This window comes from Homo sapiens, chromosome 5, assembly GCF_000001405.40.
Source record: "Homo sapiens chromosome 5, GRCh38.p14 Primary Assembly".
Classification (NCBI taxonomy): domain Eukaryota; kingdom Metazoa; phylum Chordata; class Mammalia; order Primates; family Hominidae; genus Homo; species Homo sapiens.
Window position 1 is genome coordinate 161,056,155 of NC_000005.10, and position 27,573 is coordinate 161,083,727.

A 27,573-nucleotide genomic window follows, 5' to 3' on the forward strand; every position below is an offset into this window, starting at 1 on the left:
TAGTAGCCCAATTTCCCCTTGGTGGTCTGAATCAATCAACCTGGCCAACACTGTAACACCTGTCTTAGCCTGCTAACTCAGAGACATGAGGAGACAGAAGTGGCTGGGTAGCAGTCTTAACTTCCAGTTCAATGTAGTCATTATTGTGTTTCTTGGTGGAAGCATTCCTCTCATAACTAAGACCTCTAGGCTAGCAGAGCATTAAGTCAGAGGAACAAGAAGCAAAAATTTTGCTAGTGGGCCACCATGGGTGATGGTGACTGGTGCCACTCCTATTTCCACCCCTTGATTCCTGGACCCATGAATTCTGGCTGTAAGGGAAACAATACTATATACAGACACTAATTCAGAGCATAGATAGCCTTCTGGAGGACCTTGTCCAAGCCCTACAAAGTATTATCACCTAACTGGCTCTGTAACTGTGACTTAAAAAGGTGATTCCATTATATCAAGCCAGCTGATTCAGGATGATGGGGAATTTAGTAAGACCAGCAAATTTCGTGAGCATGAGAATGCTGCTGTAGTTCTTTGGCTGTGAAGTGAGTTCCTTGGTTAAAAGTAATGCTGTATGGAATAACATGATGGTAGATAAGGCATTCTGTAACTCCACGGATGCTGGTTTTGTCAGAGCATTTTGTGCATGCAAGGCAAATATATATTCACGTATTTGTTCCAATAAAAACAAAACACTGCCTCTTCCATGATGGAAGTGGTTTAATCTAATCAAACTGCCACTAAGTACCCTAGAGAATGGTTCCATATCAGGGGCTCAGTGTTGGTCTCTGCTGCTGGTAGACTGAGCACCCAGCAGTGGCCATAGCCAGGTCAGCCTTGGTGAGTTGAAGTCCACATTCCTGAGCCCATTGTGAACTTCCATTCCTGCCACTATGGCCACTTTGTTTATGAGTACATTGGACAATGATGAGGTAGCTGGGGAGAGAGGCTGACTGATATCCAGAGAATGGGTCATTCTTTCCACTTGATTGTTAAAGTCCTCTTCTCCTGAGGTCACCTTTTGGTAAGCATTCACATGGGACACAGATATTTTTTCCCACTCAGAGAGCTCTATCCAGATGTCTCTTCCTCATATGTCTTAGTCAGAAATTTTCCAGTCATATTCCTTTCAAGTCCCTGAGCATCTGACCAAATCATTGGGTACAGCTCATGAATTAACATATAGTTGCCCATCTGCCCATTTCTCCCTCCAAGCACAACTGGGTGCAGAGCCCAAAGTCTCTATGCATTGAGAAGATTATCCTTCACCACCATCCTTCAGGGATGTCCCAGAAAGGAGCTATAGTTCTGCAACTGTCCATTTTTGGGTGGTGCTTGAATATTATTCCTGACCATCTGTAAACCAGGCCCTAGTTTTCTCTGCCTCTGTCAACTGATGCAAGCTGGGAGAGAGAAGGTAGGTTAGCAGAAGTAGAAACCAAGAGCAATTACACCACTTATTCATGTAGCTTATTTGTGCCTTCAGGACCTGCTCTTGCCTGATCACATAAATACCACTTCCATTTGATGACATAGTGTTGCAACACATACCCAAGTGGGTAAGACAACACTAAGTTTAATGACAGGCAGCTCACAGGAGTTCAAGACCACCCTGGGCAACATGAAACTCCGTCTCTACTAAAATACAAAAAATAGCTGGGTGTGGTGGCATGCACCTGTAGTCCCAGCTGCTTGGGAGGCTAAGGCACGAGAATTGCTTGAGCCCAGGAGGTGGAGGTTGCAGTGAGCCAAGATCATGCCACTGCACTGCAGCCTGGGTGACAGAGTGAGACTCCATATCAAAAAAAAAAAATGATAGGCAGCTCAGGTCGCATAGTAACTCTATGGCCCATGGGCAAACATTCAGTTTCTACTGAGGTCCAGTAGCAGGCCAAGAGCTCTCTCAAAAGGAGAGTAGTTAACTAACTTTGCAGATGATGGCAGGCCTTGCCTCCAATTCATAAGAGCATCCCCTGCAATTCACCTATAGGAGACTGCAAAAGCCTTCAAACAGCATTCCTATCTGTCAGTCACCCTAAGTACCATTAGATCTGTTGGATTCTGTGGTCCAAGAGGCAGGGCTGCCTGGAAGAGTTACAGAGCCTTCTCCTGGTCTGGGTCCTACTCAAAACTAGCAGCCTTTCAAGTCACTCAGTAGACGGATCAGGGTAACATGCCCAAATGAGGAATGTGTTGCCTCCAAATTCCCAATAGGCCCACCAGACATTGTGCTTCTTTCTTGGTTGTAGGAGGGCCAGATGCAGCAACTTATCCTTCACTTTAGGAAGGATATCTGATTCACATGTCCCACAACACTGGACCCCTGGAAATTTCACCAGGTTATAAAGCTCCTGAATTTTAGCTGAATTTATTTCCCACCCTCTGACATGCAAACATCTTAACAATAAGTCCAGAGTAGTTTCTACTTCATGCTCACTAGTTTCAATGAGCCCCATTGTAATGGACTCCTGTAATATCTTGTGGAAGAAGAAGATGATTAAGATCCCTGAAAGCTAAATTGTGGCTTAGAGCTAAAGAGTTTGATATACTACTGAAGTAGGACAGTAAAGGTGTATTGCTGGCCTTACCCACTGAAAGCAAACTGCTTTTGGTGGAACTTAAGGACAGGTATGAAGGAAAAGGAATTTACCACAACAGCTGGTACCAGGAGATGTGTGAATTTGCTCAAGCAATAAAATCACATCTGGTACAGCAGCTGCACTTGGAGTCATCACTTGGTTAAGCTTACAATAATACACTGTCATTACTCAGGCTCCATCTGTCTTCTGCACAGGCCAAATAGGAAAGTTGAATGGGGATGTGGTGAAAATTTTTCAAGTCCTTGATGGTGGCAGTAATCTCTGAAATACCTCTGGGGATGAGGTAATTGATTTACTATGTTTCTAGGTAGAGGCAGCTCTAATGGCTTCCATTTGCCTTTTTCTACCATAATGGCTCTCACTTCATGAGTCAGGGAACCATGGTGAGGATTCTGCCAGATGCTGAGAATGTCTGTTCCAATTATGCAACTGGAACTGGAAAATGACCACAGAAAGGGTTTAGGGACCCACTGGGCTTACTGTAAGTTGGATCTGAGCTAAAACTCAATTGATTATCTGACCTACATAAGGCCCTACTCTAACTAGAGGGCTACAGTAATATTTTGGGTCTCCTGGGATCCCTGTCAGTTCACAGCCAGTGTCCAGTAGTTCCCGAAAGGTCTGATTATTTCTCTCTCCTCAGTGCATAATTACCCTGGTAAAAGGCTGTTAAGTTTCTTTGGGGAAAGATGGCAAAAAGATTAACAGTATAAATTTTTGGTAATGTACCAAGGTCCTTCCTGGAGGGGACCCAGCCTTCCCTTCATTAAAGGGAATCTGCTTCTGTAAACTGGCTTAAGTCTGGGAATTGATTGAGGGGCCATGATTCTCTGTTTTTATAATTCAAATTAGACTTTTACCGAAAATTTTCTGCTATAGAGATCAAATGAGATCTTAGTAGGTTTCCTACCTAGTTCACTTCTAGAACACCATGGTTAACTAGCCAACACCATAGAACTCCATGAAACAGTCTATTCTAATTGTTGCTTTGTCTCTATTATCCATTATGGCAACTGTGCTCACCTTGCCTTTGATGATTAAGTGCTAGCACCTGGCCCTTGCCACCTCAGAATACAGTTATTTCCATTACATGTACCTTTTTCAGTTGAGTGACTGAGGTTCCCACTGTAAAGTCCAGCTTAAACAGAAGAGTAACTACGGAGCTCTTCAGGGATGCTGGGGCTCCCCTAACAAATCTGTTTCTCAATGTGTTCATGAGAGGTGTGTCTTCTGGATTCTTCCAGTGTGGGTGAGTAGGTTTAAGTGACAAATACACTCCAGCATTCCAATCTCCCTAAGCCTTTGAATCCCTCCCTCTGTAATAAACCAAGGGAGATCTGGAATCTCTAGCTTGCTCATGGTGGCCCATCTTTTTTTTTTTTTAATTTTTTTTTTAATGCACCCAGGCTGGAGTGCATTGGCACAATTATGGCTCACTGCAGTCTCAACCTCCCAAGCTCAAGTGATTCTCTCACCTCAGCCTCTCAAGTAGCTGGAACTACAGGCACGTGCCACCATGCTCAGCTGTGTGGGCCAAATTTGGACCCATTTTTAGACAACCAAACTGTTAGCACCTTTCTTAACTCCCTGAACTGTAACATTAAGTGCAGAATCTCTGTTTAGTGGACACGTAGCAATAAATTCAGCCAGACTTAACTTTATGTTCCTTCCACCATTATTCCACACCCTTAACGTTTATTCTCATATATTTCCCAGATTTCTGCTTGCATAAGTTAGAATACTGAAGTAGTTCTTTTGGAATGTAATACATCTCCTCATGGGTCATACTCATTCCTCACCTTTAGGGGTCTGCTGGGATTTTCATCTAATTATAGGTCAAGAAGCAAAAAGGGGTGGTGGGGGTGAGCCCGGAGGAGAATAAGCAGTGTCTTGCCTGGCAACTGTCTCAAGGGAGGCGATTATTGTTTCCTCAGGCAATGCAGAGTGAATCCCTGAAACAGAGGTGGAAAGGCCTATACGTTGTGGGTGGGGATGCTTCTGCCACTGGGATGGGTGTAGGGAGGCCACTTCTGCTGGCAAACAAGACTCATCAGAATTTAGAAGCTCAATGTCCCCAGCTTCATAAGCGTTTTCCCATCACTTCTCCATCCCAATTTACAGAATCCCATTATTTCCTAGCCAATGCCCTTAGTAGACACCCTGTGAGGCTAAGAGTATAGTTTTCATGTAATTCAGCCAATCACACGATAAGTGCATGTATTTGATTTGGCAATTTCAGCCCTGTGGCTATAGAACAGAAGATTCTGGCTCCGGGTGCACTTAGAAGCTCATAGGCTATTACTGGAGCTGGAGGTAAAAATTTGCATCCCTGACCTCAACCTTTTCTTTAATCAGGATGAAGGAAAGTCTGCTGCAACCTTACATAAAAAAGAAAAATCCTTCTGTGATGATATTTGCTCAGCAACTCTCTGTCCAATCTTAGATTGGCACCATCCTGGTCATTGATCCTTGTCCAGCAACATTAGAAGCAACCAACTAATGGTCATCATAGTCTGTTTTCCAAAAATGTTCAAAAGTACCATACACAGAGCCACCAAGTTTCTTCCCTCTTATAAATGATTGACTAGGATTATCAAATGCAGATATTGTGCATATTTCTATAAGAAGTTCATGCCATGGGTTATTGATTAGGGCTCTCTCTACTGTTACAGGTGGAGTCCTTAGACTTTTTAGGTCTAATTAGATTAAACAGTTAATTCCCAAAACTCCAAAACCAATTAAGGAAACATCCTTAGAAGTCTGTTCCTCCAAAACTACTCTTAATACCAAAATTTGTATTAGGCAGGGTTCAGAGAGAACCAACAGGAAATATATTGGGAAAGTTGTCAGAATCAAAATACAGTCACATATTTTGGAAAAAACAAACAACAGAGCCAGAAAAGACTATGAAAGGAGAGTTCTCATGCGCAAGTGCCTGATAACAAAAACGATCACAAACAATTCTGCGAAGAATGCAGCCTTGCACAAAGTCTGCTGCAACCTTATATAAAAAAATACTTCTGTGAGGATACCTTCCCAGCAACTGCCTGTCCAGTCTTAGATTGGCATCATTCTGGTTATTGATCCTGGTAGCCACGGATAATTATCACAGAATAATTATGTAATACTATTCATTTTTCCTTCAAAAATATTTGTCTTCTCTTTCTTCACTGAATACACACATAGTTTACTATGGCACAAGTATTCCCATTGCAATGCCCATTCTTGAATAATTATCATTTTATTTTAGAGAATCTTCCTCCCTGTTATATAGGATGACAAGCTATATATAGATATACATAGATATGGATACTTATATATAGATATAGATATAGATGAGGAGTTATTTGTTAGGGGAATTGGCCTACACATGGGACTGAGAGGTCCCATGACAAGCCATCTCCAAGCTGAAAACCCTGGGATACTGGTAGCATGGCTTGGTCCAAGTTTTAAAGCCCCAGAACCAGGGAAGGTGATGGCATAATTCTCAGTCCTAGGCCAAATGTGGGAGACCTTGGGAGGTAGGGGCCCTGCTGGTATAAGTCCTGGAGTGCCCAGGCTACTTAGCCTGAAGTTCTGATATCCAAGGGCAGGACAAGGAGAGTCCCAGCATTAAGAAAGAGAGAGAAGAAATCCTTTGCTCTCCTTGTTCATTCCTTCTGGGCCCCCAGCTGATTGCATGGTGTTTGCCCACCCTGAGGGTGGACCTTCCCCTCTCAGTCCACAGACTCACCTGTCAACCTCCTCTGGAAACACCCTCACAGACACACTAAGAAGTCATGCTTTACCCATTCCCCAGGTATTTCTTAATTCAGTTGACACCGAAAATTAACCATCACAGTGCCCCTATAAAAGAGATGTTAGAAAACTCCCTTGCCCCTTCCGCCATGTGAGGTCACAGCAGGAAGGCACCATCTATACACCAAGAATTGGAACCTCAGCAGACACCAAATCTGCAGACACCTTTATCTTAGACTTCTTAGATTCTGGAGCTGTGAGAAATACATTTAATGTTGTATATAAACCACCTAGACTGTGGTAGTTTGTTATAGCAGCACAAATGGATGAAGACAGACCTATGTGCTTTTGTGGTTAGAATCCATAACTCATGCTTATAAAGTTGGAATAAACTAATTGGGGCCAGGTGCAGTGGCTCACAACTGTAATTCCAGCACTTTGGGAGGCTGAGGCGGGCAGATCACCTCAGGTCAGGAGTTCGAGACCAGCCTGGCCAACATGGTGAAATCCCATCTCCACCAAAAATACAAAAATTAGCTGGGTATGTTGGTGCGTGCCTGTAATCCCAATTACTTGGGAGGCTGAGGCAAGTGAATTGCTTGAACCTGGGAGGCAGAGGTTGCAGTGAGCCAAGATCAGGCCACTGCACTCCAGCCTGGGTGACAGAGAGAGACTCCATCTCAAAAAAGGAAAGAAAAGAAAACACACACACACACACACACACACACACACACACACACACACACAATAAACCCAAAAAACTAATTGGTTCACAAAGATATTAAATCTACAAAATTTCCTAGTGATGTTCATGTTTATCAACCCAATTAATATTCCCTTCCTTACTGACTTGGCAGAGTCATCTAGTTTATATGTGAATATAAGAAAATAAGTAATTAAATGTAAATGCATGTAAACAGAGGGAAGTACACTAACTGAGCAAGTATTCTGTACCAACTACTGTTCTAGGTATTTGACTTAGATTACCTGAGTTACTTCTTAACACAACCCTAACACAGTATTATTATTCCCATTTACAGGCAAAGAACATGGACTCACAGACACTGGATGGCTTGCACAATGTCTTGAAGCCCCAAAGACTAGGTTGAAATGCACATGCATTTTCACAATACCACGCTTCCTCATCTCTGTAAAGCTTACATTTTAATCCTCATACAAGCTTTTGAGTAAGTACTGTTATCTTTATCTTACAGATGAGGACTCTGAGGCTCAGAGAAATTAAGTAAACTGCCCAAAATGGCATAGTTTACATATGCAAAAAACAAAATTCTCATTCAGATACGTTTGACTCCAACAGATAAATATTAGCAATCATACCTGGTTTTCATGATCTCTATTTTTTTTAAAGAGTAAAATACTGTCCAGTTGAGCCAATTGACCATTGACTTGCAACTTCCAAATTAGTAGACTGGGATGGCACCCAATCAGAGTCAGCATTATATATGAATAGAGGAAAGAGTAGACTCAAAATTACAGTATGATTAGCCATACATGAAACCTAACTTCTTTCTCCTGTCTAACCTAGGGGTTGAGAAGTTATTGACAATACTGATTATTCAAAATGTAATTAAGGGCAATTGGGCTTGTATTGAGCAGTGAGATTATATAACTGACAAGAAAAACACAGCAGAAAGTATTTTGCTTGCTAACCCATTACTACCTTCCAAAAAGCATAGCAATGCCTGGGGTGTGGAGAACAGGGAGAAATGCTGCCTAGAACAAGGCAGCAGGGAAAGACTGGGAAACCTAATGTCAAATCCTTAGCAGGGGTGTCCAATCTTTTGGCTTCCCTGGGCCACACTGGAAGAAGAAGAATTGTCTTGGGCCATATAAAATATACTAACACTAATGATAACAACAGCTGATAAGCCAAAAAAAAAAATAACACAAAAGTCTCATAATATTTTAAGAAAGCTTATGAATTTGTGTTCAGCCACATTCAAAGCTGTCCTGGGCTACCTGCAGCCTGAGGGGCGGGGCTTAGACAAGCTTGCCTTAGGCTGAGCTGGGATGCGAACAAGGCAAATCTGATTCTGCCATACTACCTTACCTGTGGGTGAATATGGACAAGTTATTTAAATCCCTGTGGGCATTGTAAAGATCAAAGAAGTTTAGGCAGGTGATATATTGGTGTAAATCCTGGCACATAGCAATAAGAATTCCAGAATTGCTTATTGACTTATTACAGCATCTTCCAGGGCAGAGAGCTGAGGGTGGAGGTTCCCATTTTCCTTACCAATTTCAGTCCAGTCTAAGATGTATCTTGGTTCATTCAAGGTGCTGTCCCTTTCTCTTTATTTCTCTTTGAAAAGGAAAGGATAGGGAGCAGCTGAAGAAAGACATGCAGGGATTTCTTGACATGCTGCCTGTAGCTTTATGGTGCAGCATGTTCTGCGGACCAGGTGTTTCAGTCACCAAATCTTTTGCAGATATTTAACAAATCAAAGCCGACAGCAGGAGGCTGTCAGCCTGACATATGATAAACACCCTCTGCAATTTAGCACTTGAGCACAGGGAGTGAGCTGCAGGATGAGTTAATTGCCAGGCTATCAACTGAGCTGAGCTGATGTTTCTTGAGCACTCTCTAAACCAGCTGAGAATTATCTAGCAAACTCTGGGACTCTAGGGTGAAGGGAGGTTTTCAGGTAGAAAGAGAAAAATGAGTGATGGTTACCAGTGAGGGGATTGACTATCAGTAACACAAACTATATTAACCAACTCTCAAAAATATAATTACCTAGAAGCAGATGAAACCCAAAAAGATCAGAATTAGAAGGAGCCCAAGAAATAATGTGATAAAAGCCTTCTATTTTACAGGAGGAGAAACTGAGGTCAGGAGTGAGGTAGGGGTTGAGATGTGAGGAATGCATGAAAGGCTACAGAATTTATCAGTGACAAAGACAGGAGTGAAATCTCAATCCTTTAAATCTGAGTTAAGTTTTCTAACAATCACATAACCTTGTTCTTGATTTTACTATTAAAATTTTTCCTCTGGAACTTATAGACTGCATGGTGTAGACTTTGGCATATTTTGGTTTTGCCAGTTACTAGTTCTGTCATCCTAGGATGTCATTTAATTTTTCTGTACCTCAGGTTCCTTACTTTATAAGTAGTTATAATATTAGTATCTATTCCAGACAATTATCATGACAATTAAATGAGATAATGCATGTTAAATGTTTGACATATTGTGAAGGTTTCAATAAAATTCATCAAATATTGCTATTATTATTATTATTATTATTCTAGATTATTGGCTTTGAATTACTTGATGATGAGTTTGGCTGAGACTTTGGTAGTAACTGAGGATATGGCAGAAACATCAACTCTCTGACAATTGCCATAAGAAGTCTCTCTTGTATTTCTCAAACACACTGTAAGCAAATAAAGCTATACAGAGAAAAAGAGCCCTGGACCAGTATTAGAGAATTTGGTTCTGACCTTAGCTGTGAATTAATTATTAGATTAACCACAGACAGTACATTTGACTTTTTTGAGCTTCCTTTTCCTTACCTGTAAAAGGAATAATAATGTAGATTTTATTGTGCTATTGAGAGCATCAAACCAGATAACACATGTAAAATATTTCATAAAATCTATGTAAACAAAACATAATCCTATATATATATTATATATATACACACACCACACACACACATATACATATATATATACAGGTGTTATGTATATTATTAATAGGGTTTTTAGAGCAGTTTTAGGTTCACACCAAAACTGAATGATACAAAGATTTCCCATTTACCCTCTGCCCGCACATGTGCATAGCCTCCTTCATTATCAGCATCCCTCACCAGAGTGGCACATTTGTTGCAATCAATGAACCTACAATGACACATCATAGTCACCAAGAGTCCATAGTTTACACTGGAATTCACTCTTAGTGTTGTACATTCTATGAATTTGGATAAATGTGTAATAACATTTATCTAACATTACAAAATTATAGAGAATAGTTTTATTGCTATAAAAATCTTATGTGCTCAATTATTTATCCCTCCTTGTCCCAAACCCCTGGCAACCACTGATTATTTTACTATCTCCGTAGATTTGCCTTTTCTAGAATGTCATATAACTGGAATCATATAGCATGTAGCCTTTCAGATTGGCTTCTTTCAATTAGTAATATGCCTTTAAGGTACCTCCACATCTAAACTGAACATGCTCATTATATGATCCAGCAATAGGTTTCCTTGGTATTTACCCAAAGGAGTGGAAACATACAGAAAATGTACACAGAAAAAATTGTACATGGATTTTTATAGCAGCTACATTCATAACTGCTGAAACTTGAAAACAACTAAGGTGTCCATCAGTAGGTAACTGCAGTATATTCAGACAATAGAATACTTTTCAGCACTAAAAAGAAATGCACTATAAGGCATGGAAAGGTGGAAACTTTGGTACTTTTTAAAGCCACTACTTTTGATATCTACTTTCTGTCATTTCACTATTTGTTCCATCATGAAGTCCTATTGATTATACTTTTAAAAATGTATTTCAAATCCAACCAGACATTCACCTCCACTGCCACCATCTTAATGTAAGCCATTGCCATTTTTCACCTAGACACATTCAGTAGCCTCCTAATACATCTCCCTGTGTTAACTCTTCCTTTCTTTCAACTCATTTTTTACAAAGCAAATTGGCACTTCCTTGCTCAGAACAATCCAATATAAAATATAAAACCACAGCGCTATCATTAGGCTTTATATGACTTGGCCCCGAATCTCTTGTTAACCTCATCTACCAGCATGCTCCCTCTCACGCGAGCTTGTATGTATTCAAATCCTTGATAAAAACCATCTATTTTCTACTTCAGCTTATTGCATACAATATTTTTTCTGCCTGAAATAATCTTACCTCCACTCTTTGCTTAAATAATTTTCTCCTTATTTTTCAGGTCTCATTAAATTGTCACTTGAGAGAGCAGTTGCCTCACCCTGCAATCTAAATCAGTGGCCTCTTGCCCTCTATTAACTCATGCTTTTCTTTCATGGCATTTAACACTTTTAATTGTGTGCTGATTTTTTTTTCAAAAAGATATTTTACTCTCCCACTCAGTTGTAAACTCTGTAATGGCAAGATACATATAATGTGTTGAACAGGATTGTATTCCTTGAACCTAGCATAGGGCCTGGTATTTAATAAGCACCCAATAAGTGTCGGTTGAATAAATGGGTAAATAAATTTGTGATTTTTCAAGATGGAAGACCTGATGAGGAGTTGAAGAGGGAGGTTATGGAGAAATTTCCCATTTCAAATTCATTATGAAAATTCTGTTTTCAAGTAGCATAAAATAAGTAATAAGAAGCCATGGCTTCTATGTAATAACCAGATATAACTAAATTAATAATTGGAAATTTATTTTAAAATGTATTGGAAACATATGGAAGCAAAAGAGATAGATGAATTAAATTCCTGAGAGAAAAGAGCTCTTTCCAGGTAACATGAGGTATATGTCCTTTTTATTTTTTTCTGAAGGCACTTGCTAAGTCTGAAAGTAGGCTGTTAGTCTGGTTTGCTATTGCCAGGGTGGGGGCATTTCTAGGAGAAAAGGAAACCTGTAAAACATGTTATGATCACGGTTCCTGCTATGGCAATCTGAAACCTAGACGATTTCCTATTGAATGATTGTTTTTTTCCACCAGAATTTTTTTTTTTATTATTATACTTTAAGTTTTAGGGTACATGTGCACAACTTGCAGGTTTGTTTGTTACATATGTATACATGTGCCATGTTGGTGTGCTGCACCCATTAACTCGTCATTTATATTAGGTATATCTCCTAATGCTATCCCTCCCCCTGCCCCCCACCCCAGGACAGGCCCTGGTGTGTGATGTTCCCCTTCCTGTGTCCAAGTGTTCTCATTGTTCAATTCCCACCTATGAGTGAGAACATGCAGTGTTTGATTTTTTGTCCTTGCGATAGTTTGCTGAGAATGATGGTTTCCAGCTGCATCCATGTCCCTACAAAGGACGTGAAGTCATCCTTTTTATGGCTGCATAGTATTCCATGGTGTATATGTGCCACATTTTCTTAATCCAGTCTATCATTGATGGACATTTTGGTCGGTTCCAAGTCTTTGGTATTGTGAATAGTGCTGCAATAAACATACGTGTGCATGTGTCTTTATAGCAGCATGATTTACAATCCTTTGGGTTATAATCCAATAATGGGATCACTGGGTCAAATGGTATTTCTAGTTCTAGATCCTTGAGAAATTGCCACACTGTCTTCCACAATGGTTGAACTACTTTACAGTCCCACCAACAGTGTAAAAGTGTTCCTATTTCTCCACATCCTCTCCAGCACCTGTTGTTTCCTGACTTTTTAATGATCACCATTCTAACTGGTGTGAGATGGTATGTCATTGTGGTTTTGATTTGTATTTCTCTGATGGCCAGTGATGATGAGCATTTTTTCATGTGTCTGTTGGCTGCATAAAATGTCTTCTTTTGAGAAGTGTCTGTTCATATCCTTTGCCCACTTTTTGATGGGGTTGTTTGTTTTTTCTTGTAAGTTTGAGTTCATTGTAGATTCTGGATATTAGCCCTTTGTAAGATGAGAAGATTGCAAAAATTTTCTCCCATTCTGTAAGTTGCCTGTTTACTCTGATGGTAGTTTCTTTTGCTGTGCAGAAGCTCTTTAGTTTAATTAGATCCCATTTGTCAATTTTGGCTTTTGTTACCATTGCTTTTGGTGTTTTAGTCATGAAGTCCTTGCCCATGCCTATGTCTGGAATGGTATTTTGAAGCAGACTGAAGTGATATGGGAGGCTGTGGTACTGGGCAGGAAACAAGTAATAGAATTTTGTACTTGATAGAAAAATCCCACTCATGGGAGGTATTTAGAATGAGCACACAAGAGGGCTGGAGATGTTGAAAGTGGAGATAGATTGAATTCAACCAAAGCTACAACCAGTTCAGACCCTGCTCAATGCTCACTTGGATTGAAGTGATCAGCCTTTCAGCCTGTTTCTGACAGAGGAAAGGGAAACTTTCCTTGGGAGAAAATGACATCAACCTTAGTCTGTACAACTTTTTAATACACAGTAAGTGGTATTCAGAAAAATACTAGAAACAGGGAACAGATAAGGAAATGTAACAGATAAGAGAAAAAGTTATCAATATAAGCAGAGACACAGATCAAGCAAGATGACAGGGAAGGCAGAAAAATAACTTAAGTACTATAAATGAGTCAAAGAACATAGATGGACAATAGAGATGAAGGAGAAATTTTTTCCTCAGAGATTTCTAATCTATAAAGAAATGAACATTCTAAGATGAAAAGACACATTTGAAACTAAGAACTCATTGAATGAGTTAAACAGTAGACATTAGGAGCAGGAGACGGAATTAGTAAACTCAAAATAGGCCAACTGAAAACATATCACTGAAGCTTTGAGAAAAAAAAAGTGTGAAAGAAGCAAGCACAGAGTATAAGAGACATGTGGGACACAGGTCCAAGCATTCATGTCAGAGTTCCAGAAACACAAGTAAAGAAACAAAGGTATAGGAAAAATCATGACGAAAAATCCACACTGGTTAAAAACATCAGCCTACACATTCAAGTAGCAAATCCCATGCAAGATAAAAATAAACTGCACCTTGGTACAAAGTCAAATGCTGAAAACCAAGAACAAAGGAAAATGAGCAGCCAGAAACAGAAATAAAACAAAACTAAACAATATTGAGAGATTTCTATGAGAACTATGGAAGTCAAGAAAAAATAGATTAATTTTACAACGCAGAAAGAACAAAAAGCTTTACTATAAAAATATCTTTCAAAAATAGGGCATTACATAATGATAAAAGATTTAATGCAATAAGAAGACAACTATACTAAATATATGCACCCAACATTTAAGCACAAAATTCATAAAACAAGTACTTCTAGAGTCTAAACCTGTGAAAAGACTTAGCCACACCATGATACCAGGGGACTTTAGCACCTCGCTGACAACATTAGTCAGATTATTGAGGCAAAAAAATGAACAAAGAAATTCTAGACTTAAATTCAACCTTTAGCCAATTGGACCCAAGACATCTACAGAATACTCCATCTAACAATCACAGAATATATATTCTTCTCATCTGTACATGGAACATACTCTAAGATTGATCACATACTTGGTCATGAAGCAAGTCTCAATAAATTGAAAAGTATATAAATGATATCAAGCATACACTTAGACCACAGTGAAATCAATACCAAGATCTCTCAAAAACCACAAAATTATATGGAAATTAAACAAATTGCTCCTGAATGACTTTTGGATAAACAACCAAATTAAGGCATAAGTTTAAAAAAGTTGAAATAAATGAAAATAGACACATAATATATGAAAATCTCTGGGATGGAGCAAAATCAGCATTAAGAAGAAACTTTATAGCACTAAATGCCTATATCAGGAACTTAGAAAGATCTCAAATTAGCAATCTAACATCATACATAAAGAACCAGAAAAACAGGAATGAATTAAACCCAACCTAGCAGAAGAAAAGAAGTAACTGAAATCAGAGCAGAAGTGACAAAATTGAGACCACAAAATCCATACAAAAGATGAACCAAATTAAAAATTTATTATTTGAAAGGATAAACAAGATCGATTCAAACACTATCAAACATGGAGACTCCCTTTTTCATGGGCTACAGGAGCGGAAGTGGGTGACCCATGAGTATGGGGTCATCTTCCTGGAACTGGAGATAACCTTTTGTAACATCTCTACTCCAGTGTTTCCACTTACATGAAGTCAGGAAAATATTAGTTCTAATGCTATTACTCATGCAAATTATTTGACTTTTCACATAAAAGTCAAGTTTCAGCTGGCAGCCAAGATGGCCGAATAGGAACAGCTCCGGTCTGCAGTGCCAAGCATGAGCGATGCAGAAGATGGGTGACTTCTGCATTTCCATCTGAGGTACCGGGTTCATCTCACTGGGGAGTCCCAGACAGTGGGTGCAGGACAGTGGGTGCAGTGCACTGTGCGTGAGCCAAAGCAGGGCGAGGCATTGCCTCACTCGGGAAGCGCAAGGGATCAGGGTGTTCCCTTTCCTAGTCAAAGAAAGGGGTGACAGATGGCACCTGGAAAATCGGGTCACTCCCACTCAAATACTGTGCTTTTCCGACGGGCTTAAAAAACGGCACACCACGAGATTATATCCCGCACCTGGCTTGGAGGGTCCTACGCCCACGGAGTCTCGCTGATTGCTAGCACAGCAGTCTGAGATCAAACTGCAAGGTGGCAGCGAGGCCAGAGGGGCACCGGCCATTGCCCAGGCTTGCTTAGGTAAACAAAGCAGCCGGGAAGCTCGAACTGGGTGGAGCTCACCACAGTTCAAGGAGGCCTGCCTGCCTCTGTAGGCTCCACCTCTAGGGGCAGGGCACAGACAAACAAAATGACAGCAGTAACCTCTGCAGACTTAAATGTCCCTGTCTGACAGCTTTGAAGAGAGCAGTGGTTCTCCCAGCATGCAGCTGGAGATCTGAGAACGGGCAGACTGCCTCCTCAAGTGGGTCCCTGACCCATGACCCCCGAGCAGGCTAACTGGGAGGCACCCCCCAGGAGGGGTACACTGACACCTCACACGGCAGGGTATTCCAACAGACCTGCAGCTGAGGGTCCTGTCTGTTAGAAGGAAAACTAACAAACAGAAAGGACATCCACACCAAAAACCCATCTGTACATCACCATCGTCAAAGACCAAAAGTAGATAAAACCACAAAGATGGGGAAAAAACAGAACAGAAAAACTGGAAACTCTAAAACGCAGAGTGCCTCTCCTCCTCCAAAGGAACACAGTTCCTCACCAGCAACGGAACAAAGCTGGATGGAGAATGACTTTGACGAGCTGAGAGAAGGCTTCAGATGATCAAATTACTCTGAGCTACAGGAGGACATTCAAACCAAAGGCAAAGAAGTTGAAAACTTTGAAAAAAATGTAGAAGAATGTATAACTAGAATAACCAATACAGAAAAGTGCTTAAAGGAGCTGATGGAGCTGAAAACCAAGGCTCGAGAACTACGTGAAGAATGCAGAAGCCTCAGGAGCCGATGCGATCAACTGGAAGAAAGGGTATCAGCAATGGAAGATGAAATGAATGAAATGAAGCGAGAAGGGAAGTTTAGAGAAAAAAGAACAAAAAGAAATGAGCAAAGCCTCCAAGAAATATGGGACTATGTGAAAAGACCAAATCTACGTCTGATTGGTGTACCTGAAAGTGATGGGGAGAATGGAACCAAGTTGGAAAACACTCTGCAGGATATTATCCAGGAGAACTTCCCCAATCTAGCAAGGCAGGCCAACGTTCAGATTCAGGAAATACAGAGAATGCCACAAAGATACTCCTCCAGAAGAGCAACTCCAAGACACATAATTGTCAGATTCACCAAAGTTGAAATGAAGGAAAAAATGTTAAGGGCAGCCAGAGAGAAAGATCGGGTTACCCTCAAAGGGAAGCCCATCAGACTAACAGCGGATCTCTTGGCAGAAACCCTACAAGCCAGAAGAGAGTGGGGGCCAATATTCAACATTCTTAAAGAAAAGAATTTTCAACCCAGAATTTCATATCCAGCCAAACTAAGCTTCATAAGTGAAGGAGAAATAAAATACTTTACAGACAAGCAAATGCTGAGAGATTTTGTCACCACCAGGCCTGCCCTAAAAGAGCTCCTGAAGGAAGCGCTAAACATGGAAAGGAACAACCGGTACCAGCCACTGCAAAATCATGCCAAAATGTAATGACCATCGAGACTAGGAAGAAACTGCATCAACTAACGAGCAAAATCACCAGCTAACATCATAATGACAGGATCAAATTCACACATAACAATATTAACTTTAAAGGTAAATGGACTAAATGCTCCAATTAAAAGACACAGACTGGCAAATTGGATAAAGAGTCAAGACCCATCAGTGTGCTGTATTCAGGAAACCCATCTCACGTGCAGAGACACACATAGGCTCAAAATAAAAGGATGGAGGAAGATCTACCAAGCAAATGGAAAACAAAAAAAGGCAGGGGTTGCAATCCTAGTCTTGGATAAAACAGACTTTAAACCAACAAAGATCAAAAGAGACAAAGAAGGCCATTACCTAATGGTAAAGGGATCAATTCAACAAGAAGAGCTAACTATCCTAAATATATATGCACCCAATACAGGAGCACCCAGATTCATAAAGCAAGTCCTGAGTGACCTACAAAGAGACTTAGACTCCCACACATTAATAATGGGAGACTTTAACACCCCACTGTCAACATTAGACAGATCAATGAGACAGAAAGTCAACAAGGATATCCAGGAATTGAACTCAGCTCTGTACCAAGCAGACCTAATAGACATCTCCAGAACTCTCCACCCCAAATCAACAGAATATACATTTTTTTCAGCACCACACCACACCTATTCCAAAATTGACCACATACTTGGAAGTAAAGCTCTCCTCAGCAAATGTAAAAGAACAGAGATTATAACAAACTATCTCTCAGACCACAGTGCAATCAAACTAGAACTCAGGATTAAGAATCTCACTCAAAACCGCTCAACTACATGGAAACTGAACAACGTGCTCCTGAATGACTACTGGGTACATCACGAAATGAAGGCAGAAATAAAGATGTTCTTTGAAAACAACGAGAACAAAGACACAACATACCAGGATCTCTGGGACACATTCAAAGCAGTGTGTAGAGGGAAATTTATAGCACTAAATGCCCACAAGAGAAAGCAGGAAACATCCAAAATTGACACCCTAACATCACAATTAAAAGAACTAGAAAAGCAAGAGCAAACACATTCAAAAGCTAGCAGAAGGCAAGAAATAACTAAATCAGAGCAGAACAGAAGGAAATAGAGACACAAAAAACCCTTCAAAAAATTAATGAATCCAGGAGCTGGTTTTTGGAAAGGATCAACAAAATTGATAGACCACTCGCAAGACCAATAAAGAAGAAAAGAGAGAAGAATCAAATAGACGCAATAAAAAATGATAAGGGGGATATCACCACCGATCCCACAGAAATGCAAACTACCACCAGAAAATACTACAAACACCTCTATGCAAATACAACTAGAAAATCTAGAAGAAATGGAAAAATTCCTCAACACATACACTCTCCCAAGACTAAACCAGGAAGAAGTTGAATCTCTGAATAGACCAATAACAGGATCTGAAATTGTGGCAATAATCAACAGCTTACCAACCAAAAAGAGTCCAGGACCAGATGGATTCACAGCCGAATTCTACCAGAGGTACAAGGAGGAACTGGTACCATTCCTTCTGAAACTATTCCAATCAATAGAAAAAGAGGGAATCCTCCCTAACTCATTTTATGAGGCCAGCATCATCCTGATACCAAAGCCGGGCAGAGACACAACAAAAAAAGAGAATTTTAGACCAATATCCTTGATGAACATTGATGCAAAAATCCTCAATAAAATACTGGCAAGCCGAATCCAGCAGCACATCAAAAAGCTTATCCACCATGATCAAGTGGGCTTCATCCCTGGGATGCAAGGCTGGTTCAATGTACTCAAATCAATAAATGTAATCCAGCATATAAACAGAACCAAAGACAAAAACCACATGATTATCTCAATAGATGCAGAAAAGGCCTTGACAAAATTCAACAACACTTCATGCTAAAAACTCTCAATAAATTAGATATTGATGGGACGTATCTCAAAATAATAAGAGCTATCTATGACAAACCCACAGCCAATATCATACTGAATGGGCAAAAACTGGAAGCATTCCCTTTGAAAACTGGCACAAGACAGGGATGCCCTCTCTCACAACTCCTATTCAACATAGTGTTGGAAGTTCTGGCCAGGGCAATTAGGCAGGAGAAGGAAATAAAGGGTATTCAATTAGGAAAAGAGGAAGTCAAATTGTCCCTGTTTGCAGATGACATGATTGTATATCTAGAAAACCCCATTGTCTCAGCCCAAAATCTCCTTAAGCTGATAAGCAACTTCAGCAAAGTCTCAGGATACAAAATCAATGTACAAAAATCACAAGCATTCTTATACACCAATAACAGACAAACAGAGAGCCAAATCATGAGTGAACTCCCATTCACAATTGCTTCAAAGAGAATAAAATACCTAGGAATCCAACTTACAAGGGACGTGAAGGACCTCTTCAAGAAGAACTACAAACCACTGCTCAATGAAATAAAAGAGGATACAAAGAAATGGAAGAACATTTCATGCTCATGGGTAGGAAGAATCAATATCGTGAAAATGGCCATACTGCCCAAGGTAATTTATAGATTCAATGCCATCCCCATCAAGCTACCAATGATTTTCTTCACAGAATTGGCAAAAACTACTTTAAAGTTCGTATGGAACCAAAACAGAGCCCGCATTGCCAAGTCAATCCTAAGCCAAAAGAACAAAGCTGGAGGCATCATGCTACCTGACTTCAAACTATACTACAAGGCTACAGTAACCAAAACAGCATGGTACTGGTACCAAAACAGAGATATAGATCAATGGAACAGAACGGAGCCCTCAGAAATAATGCCGCATATCTGCAACTATCTGATCTTTGACAAACCTGAGAAAAACAAGCAATGGGGAAAGGATTCCCTATTTAATAAATGGTGCTGGGAAAACTGGCTAGCCATATGTAGAAAGCTGAAACTGGATCCCTTCCTTACTCCTTATACAAAAATTAATTCAAGATGGATTAAAGACTTAAACATTAGACCTAAAACCATAAAAACCCTAGAAGAAAACCTAGGTATTACCATTCAGGACATAGGCATGGGCAAGGACTTCATGTCTAAAACACCAAAAGCAATGGCAACAAAAAAAGCCAAAATTGACAAATGGGATCTAATTAAACTAAAGAGCTTCTGCACAGCAAAAGAAACTACCATCAGAGTGAACAGGCAACCTACAAAATGGGAGAAAATTTTCGCAACCTACTCATCTGACAAAGGGCTAATATCCAGAATCTACAATGAACTCAAACAAATGTATGAGAAAAAAACAAATAACCCCATCAAAAAGTGGGCAAAAGACATGAACAGACACTTCTCAAAAGAAGACATTTATGCAGCCAAAAAACACATGAAAAAATGCTCACCATCACTGGCCATCAGAGAAATGCAAATCAAAACTACAATGAGATACCATCTCACACCAGTTAGAATGGCAATCATTAAAAAGTCAGGAAACAACAGGTGCTGGAGAGGATGTGGAGAAATAGGAACACTTTTACACTGTTGGTGGGACTGTAAACTAGTCCAACCATTGCGGAAGACAGTGTGGCAATTCCTCAAGGATCTAGAACTAGAAATACCATTTGACCCAGCGATCCCATTACTGGGTTATAACCCAAAGGATTATAAGTCATGCTGCTATAAAGACACATGCACACATATGTTTACTGTGGAGCTATTCACAATGGCAAAGACTTGGAACCATCCCAAATGCCATCAATGATAGACTGGATTAAGAAAATGTGGCACATATACAGCATGGAATATTATGCAGCCATAAAAAAGGATGAGTTCATGTCCTTTGCAGGGACATGGATGCAGCTGGAAACCATCATTCTCAGCAAACTATCACAAGGACAGAAAACCAAACACCACATATTCTCACTCGTAGGTGGGAACTGAACAGTGAGAACACTTGGACACAGGACGGGTAACATCACACCCTGGGGCGTGTCGTGGGGTGGGGGGCAGGGGGAGGGATAGCATTAGGAGAAATACCTAATGTAAATGACGAGTTAATGGGTGCAGCAAACCAACATGGCACATGTATACCTATGTAACAAACCTGCACGTTGTGCACATGTACCCTAGAACTTAAAGTACAAAAAAAAATGTAGACATACAAAAAAAAAAATAAAAAATTACTTTGTAACTTAGACCATTATAGTTAACAACTGTTAAAAATAAAAGTAAAATTGAAAGATTATGTTTTCAGATGGTATTACTAATTTATTAGAGCTTCTATAACAAAGCATCACAGTCTGGGTGCCTTAAACATCAGAATTTGTTTCCTCACAGTTCTGGAGGCTGTAAGTCCAGGTTCAAGGTATGTGTAGGCTGGTTTCTCCAGAGAACTCCTTGGCTTGCAAATAGCTCCTTTCTCACTGTGTCTTCACATTCATTTCCTGTCTTTGCCTGCATCTCTGGGCTTTCTCTCCCCCCGCCTCTTTTTTTGGTTTAATAAGGACAGTGGTTCAATCAGGTTAGGGGCCTGCCCCTCTTGCCTCATTTAATATTAATCATCTCTCTCAGGTTCTGTCTCCAAATGCAGTCACATTCTGAGGTATTGGGGATTAAAAGTTCAACATACACATTTTGAAAAGACGTAATTCAGTCTATACAGAAGGAAATGTTTTGGCCTGGTCCCTCCATATTATTTGGGATGGGAGACAAAGAGAAGAGGGAGAGCTGAAGAATGAAAGAAAAATTCTTGGAAAAAGGAGAGGCTCAGGGAAACAAAAATCCCTAATAAATTAGCTATTGTTAATAGTTAAAAACTACAAAGGGTAGCAACAATAATATTACTACCCACTAACATTTATTGGTTACTTATTATTAGGGTTTTCTTGATGATTAAGTGAGATAATCATGTAAGACTTCAGCAAAATTCAGAGCACACAGCAAACGTTCAATAAATGTTATGTATTTTTATGATTTCTCAGTTTGTGTTGTTCCTTCTTCTGGAAATGGCAAGCAGTGGCTCAGAAGCTTAATTTTCTACAAATATGTAACTGTTAAAAATATATGGTGCTGTATTATCAAGTTTGTTTCAAAAAGTACAATGCCAAATGGAGGTTAGAAGAGGTGTGCTGAATGTGTAATGGAAAGTACTGGTTGTCATGGTAAAGAAAGCCTTGAAGTAAACAGAGCACGTTTTATTTAATTTTAACTCTTATCCAAATGTCTATGAGACTCTTCTCTCATTTGGAAAAGGATATAAGGTACAAAAAATTGATTTCTTATCAACAGGACATTTGACAAATATGCTATATATGTGTAAGCAAGAAGGGAAAAATTGTTTTAAGTTCCATTTTAGTTGAGGGTAAAAGGAGACAAGATGAAACTGTGTCATAGACAAGCTTTTTGATATTACCCTCCAAGTTCTCTACCACTCTTTCTGTTCCAAGGGAACACCTGCAGTAAATAATAGTAACAGTCCTTCTTTTGAGTACCTGCAATAAGCCACACACTGGCTTTTTCTTCCTCCCAACAACCCAGTAAAATAGGAAACTGTGTCTCAGAGGGGTTAAATGTCACAATAAGTTCAAATAGCTGTAAATGGGTGAACTTAGATTAAAATCCAAGTTTGCTGAGTTGAAATCTCATCCTCTTTCTGCTAAAGGCATGTTTATTTATTCAGTGGTTATTGGGAGAAGTGAAGACACAGACCTAATCCAGTGATGCATCATTGCTGAGCACAGTCTGAGGCTTACTGCCTATCTTCCTCAGGAGCTCTCAGAACTGGGACTCTGTCCCACGTGGTTACTGGGTAGGCCAGCTGGGTAACCCACCTATGACCTTCCCGTCAGTCACCGTTCCGTGCTTTCCTGTGTGCCATTCTTACTAATCTTAGGGACTTTAGTAACAACCTCCCAACTCACTCCCCTGTCTCCAGTCAGTTCTTAATCAGAGTTATCCTCTATATACACTGCTGTATGCTCAGATTTTCTGAAGCACTGACTATTTACTAAATGTGGTTATTATAGAATTTGGAGGAAAAGGAAAGCAAAGTGGCAACTCAGGTTCTAAAATAAGAATAAAAAAATATTGGGTTCTAGTGCTTGCTCTCCCATTAACTTCCTGACCTTGAGTAAGTCTCTAATCTAGTTTTTTTAAACCATAGCTCATATGTGTAGCCGTTCTGATTATACTAACATTTTCTGTTAGTGCAGTCAAGTTTCAGAAATAGAGTTTGTTATGAAGACATCCCAAATCTAGCTAAAAAGCCTCTAGATAATGCTTTCCAAATGCCTTATATTTCTCAAATTATGAACCTTTGTATTAAGATTTATCTTGAAAATCTGTCACTGTTTTAAATCATTTTCTTGATGTGAATTTCTAATTCAGAGAGGCAGTGGGACTTGTCTAAGATTTCGCAGGGGCTGAAGATCTGAGCCATAAAGGGACCATGTGGTAGATGCATTTCATCTTAGGAGGTGGTGATATAGTTTGGATATTTGTCCCTTCCAAATTTTGTGTTGAAAATTGTTCCTCAGTGTTGGAGATGTGGACTGGTGTTTGGGTCATGGGGGTGGATCCCTTATGAATGTCTTGGTGCCGTCCCTGCAGTAATGAGTGAGTTCTTGCTCTATTCATTACCTTATGATCTGACTGTTTAAAAGCAGCCTGGCCTCTCTCTTGCTCACCCTGCTCCCCATTCCCCTTCTGTCATGATTGGAAGCCTCCTGGGACTCCACCTGAAGTAGATGCTGGTGCCATGATTCTTGTACCGTCTGCCCAGCCATGAGCTAAATAAACCTCTTTACTTTTTAAATTACGTATGATAATTCAGATATTCCTTTATATATTCAGATATTCCTTTATAGGAAGGGTCCCCAACCTCAGGGCCACAGACTTCGACTGTTTCATGACCTGTTAGGAATCAGGTCGCACAGCAGGAGGTGAGCAGAGGGCAAGTGAGCATTACTGCATTACTGCCTGAGCTCCACCTCTTGTAAGATCAGTGGCGGCATTAGATTATCATAGGAGCAGGAATCCTTTTTTGACCTGCACATGCAAGGGATCTAGGTTGCATGCTTCTTATGATAATCTAATGCCTGATCTGTTTTTTTTTTTTTTTTTTTTTTTTTTTTTTTTTTTTTTGAGACGGAGTCTCTGTCGCCCAGGCTGGAGGGCAGTGGCACGATCTCAGCTCACTGCAAGCTCCGCCTCCCAGGTTCACACCATTCTCCTGCCTCAGCCTCCCAAGTAGCTGGGACTCCAGGTGTCCACCACCACGCCTGGCTAATTTTTTGTATTTTTAGTAGAGATGGGGTTTCACCATGTTAGCCAGGCTGTCTCCATCTCTTGACCTCGTGATCTGCCCACCTCAGCCTCCCAAAGTGCTGGGTTTACAGGCGTGAGCCACTGCGCCCGGCCGACACAGGTATTTTCATGCTAGGTGCACACATGATTATTTTCCATCAATGAACTTGTAGTATGAAATAGCATAGTGATATGCATATTCTCTCTTGTATTCTCTTCAATTCCTTCTGATCACCTGAATGAGAGAGTATCAGAATTTGGTGATAGTAGGTCTTTAACTCCTTTATAATATTTGTTAATCTTATCTAATAAGGAAACGGATCTCAGCTTCCCAGCCTTCAGCCTTGATCTCTTGACCTTGTGATCACCCGCCTAGACCTCCAAAAGTGCTGGGATTACAGGCGTGAGCCGCTGTGCCCGACCCTAATGCCTGATCTGAAGTGGAACAGTTTCATCCCAAAACCATCACCACCCACCCCGCCCCAACCCCCCCAGGTCCATGGCAATATTGTCTTCCATGAAACCAGTCCCTAGTGCCAAAAAGCTTGGGGACCACTGCTTTATAGCAATGCAAAATGGACTAATATGGTGGCTTTGTTTATAGGCCTCAATTGTGGCACATGAGGTAAGGAAAAGATGTCTGAAACTGCTGGGAAAATAGCTCTATATTTCTTTTGCCAAATATATATAAACTCAATTCAAAGACAGAATTCCTAATTGGAGTTTCAGCAATTTCTAAGGGTGTTTAAATAAAATAATTAGTGAAATAGTCAAAATCATAACATCTTATTTGATTGAACTTTGTGTACCTTCAGAGTTGGTATTCTATCTAGTATGGAACAGCTAAACAATGTAATCAGAAAGGCTGTACTACGAAAATCAAAGTGAAGATTACAGATTCATTTTTCTCTTCTCTGATAGAAAACTAATATACAAATCAAGGCTGAAACAAACAGAAAATGGGAGGAAAGTGGACAAGAAAGAGAAACACAAAATATTAGAACTAGATGAGCATGTGGTACTCCCATTTGTTTTTCACATGGGGAAGCTGAGGCATGTAAAATGGCTGGTCTAAAATTATTCTTATATCAAATACCTGAATTCTATAGTCTAGTGGAGCTTATGGACAAGACAAAAGCTTGGCTTGATACCCAAGTCTCCAACATTTTGCCTGTCATTATTTTTGTGTCGTGGTTGAGAAAAATGGCTCTGAAGTCAGACAAAACAAGTGTTCACTATGCACTAGTGATGACTTTGGATGAGTTAATTAATTTGTCTAAGGCTCATTTATTCATCTGTAAAAAAAAAGGGGGGAAAATAATATCTACCTCGTAAAGACATTGTGAGGATACAGTCATGTAATGCTTGTAAACTGCTCAGCTCAGAGCCAGGCATAGAGTACTCAATGAATATTAACTGTCACAAACATCATCAGTATTATATTATCATTTTCACCACAATGCCACGCTTTCTTACCATTTCCTTTTGTGAGGTCATGGGCATAACTGCTCTCAGCACTGAGTACAATCTAGAAAGACATTGCCAGGGTTTTCTCAACTTCTGTGATGATAACAATCACTTTCTGTCCTTGTTCATCAGGGCCTCCAAATCCCCTCCCTCATCTAGAAATTCTGATTTAGTAGGTCCTGGGTTGGGATCAGGATACTGTTTTTAATAAGTGACCTAAATGATTGCTTAGACAGGGACTCACATCTCACAAGGCTATCTCATCACCCTTTAACAATTCCATGATCAAACTTGGGGGACAAAAAGCAAGAGCAAAAACAATGAGAATTCTTCTTCCCTTTCTCTCTCTTTTCTACTCTAAAATAGTGAGGACTGGAGAATTATACACTGGAGAATCATGATGTTCCAGGCACTCTTCATGACACAACTTGCAGAGTCCCTCCAACATTTCTATGATGTGGATGCTGTCACTTTATATATGAAGAAAAAACAATTTATGCTAAGTCATATGGGGTGATATCTAGCCCATAGCAAGTGCTCAGTTAATATTTATTGCATGAATGAATAAACCTTTTTTTTTGCTTTGTTTTACAAATTAAAGCAATTACACATTGCAGCTTATTCAAGACAAAATTATGAAATGATTGACATTTATTGCTGATACTCTCATGCTTTCTTTCTGCTCTTCCTTCTGTTATAGTTGTCCAGTGTCCTAGGACTTGTCATATCCAGACCCTGACTTTTCAGAGAAAGGGACCCATGTTGTTAGGGTCTTAACTATGGTAGTTTGAGAAATTCCTTCCATGCATAAAATTGGTTTCAAATTAGATGGTTATGAGTCAAAATAATTTGATTTAAAAAAACTCATGGTGGTGGGGAGGGGTTCAATAGGTGAAGTACAGGAGATATTTTTAGGGTGGTGACACTATTCTGTATAATACCATAATAGTGGATGCATGACACTCTGAATTTGTTTAAGTACATAGAACTTTACAGCACAACAAATTTAGAAAATAATTTAGGAGGTTGCAAAATTTTGGGGTGGAATGTGGAATATGACAAAATAGTTTAACTGTGTTACAAATGTGTGAACTACTTAATTGGGCAGGGGAAAAACGTGTTGACCTAAATAATGTTGGAAATAAATAGAGTCTGTAAGACTAAAGATAAAAGAAACTGTCCATAAGCACCATGCCCTGGTTGATACAGTTGTTTCCCATGAAGGTGTGGTTGAACAATTCTGATACCACTATGCTTGTACACTGGCATTAAACAATTAAGTAAATGGATGGTGGACAGTGGGATTCAGGTTTCTCACTGTTGGAGAGGGAAGTTAAGGATAAACAACATCAGAGGGCTAGAATGATCCATGGGATAAAAAATTAAAGTTGGAGATATCAGCATTAACTCATCTTTAGCTTATATAGATATGGCTGGTTTCGCATAGAAATATTCATAGATATGCACATAGAAATATTCATAGACATGCATATAAACATGGGTTAGTACATGTGTTTCCTTGTTCTGTCAGCTGAAAGGGCCTATAAGAAAGGACATCCCAGTGGAAGTCAGCACATGTTATGCATAGATATTGGCTTGTAACAACATTCCCCATTAAAAGAAACCAGAGCTCCTGGGAGAAGTGGCTGATATTACAATAGCAGAAGAAATATACAAGTTGGGCCTGAGTACTTTGTAGTGCCAGAAGGTTAAGAAGGACTAAAAGACCCCACAATT

The 27,573-nt window shown here is 39.9% G+C and overlaps 1 long non-coding RNA gene across 2 annotated transcripts; it reads left to right on the forward strand.

Annotated features, from left to right (window-relative positions):
- The first annotated feature begins 3,617 nt into the window (after positions 1 to 3,617).
- On the forward strand, positions 3,618 to 27,573 carry LOC105377693 (uncharacterized). 2 transcript variants are annotated; one of them, XR_001742536.1, is made up of 3 exons: positions 3,618 to 3,843; positions 7,373 to 7,519; positions 27,368 to 27,573. It is a non-coding gene; the product is annotated as an uncharacterized LOC105377693 (long non-coding RNA). The 2 variants fall into 2 exon arrangements; XR_941154.1 differs by lacking the exon at positions 27,368 to 27,573 and adding an exon at positions 26,203 to 26,355.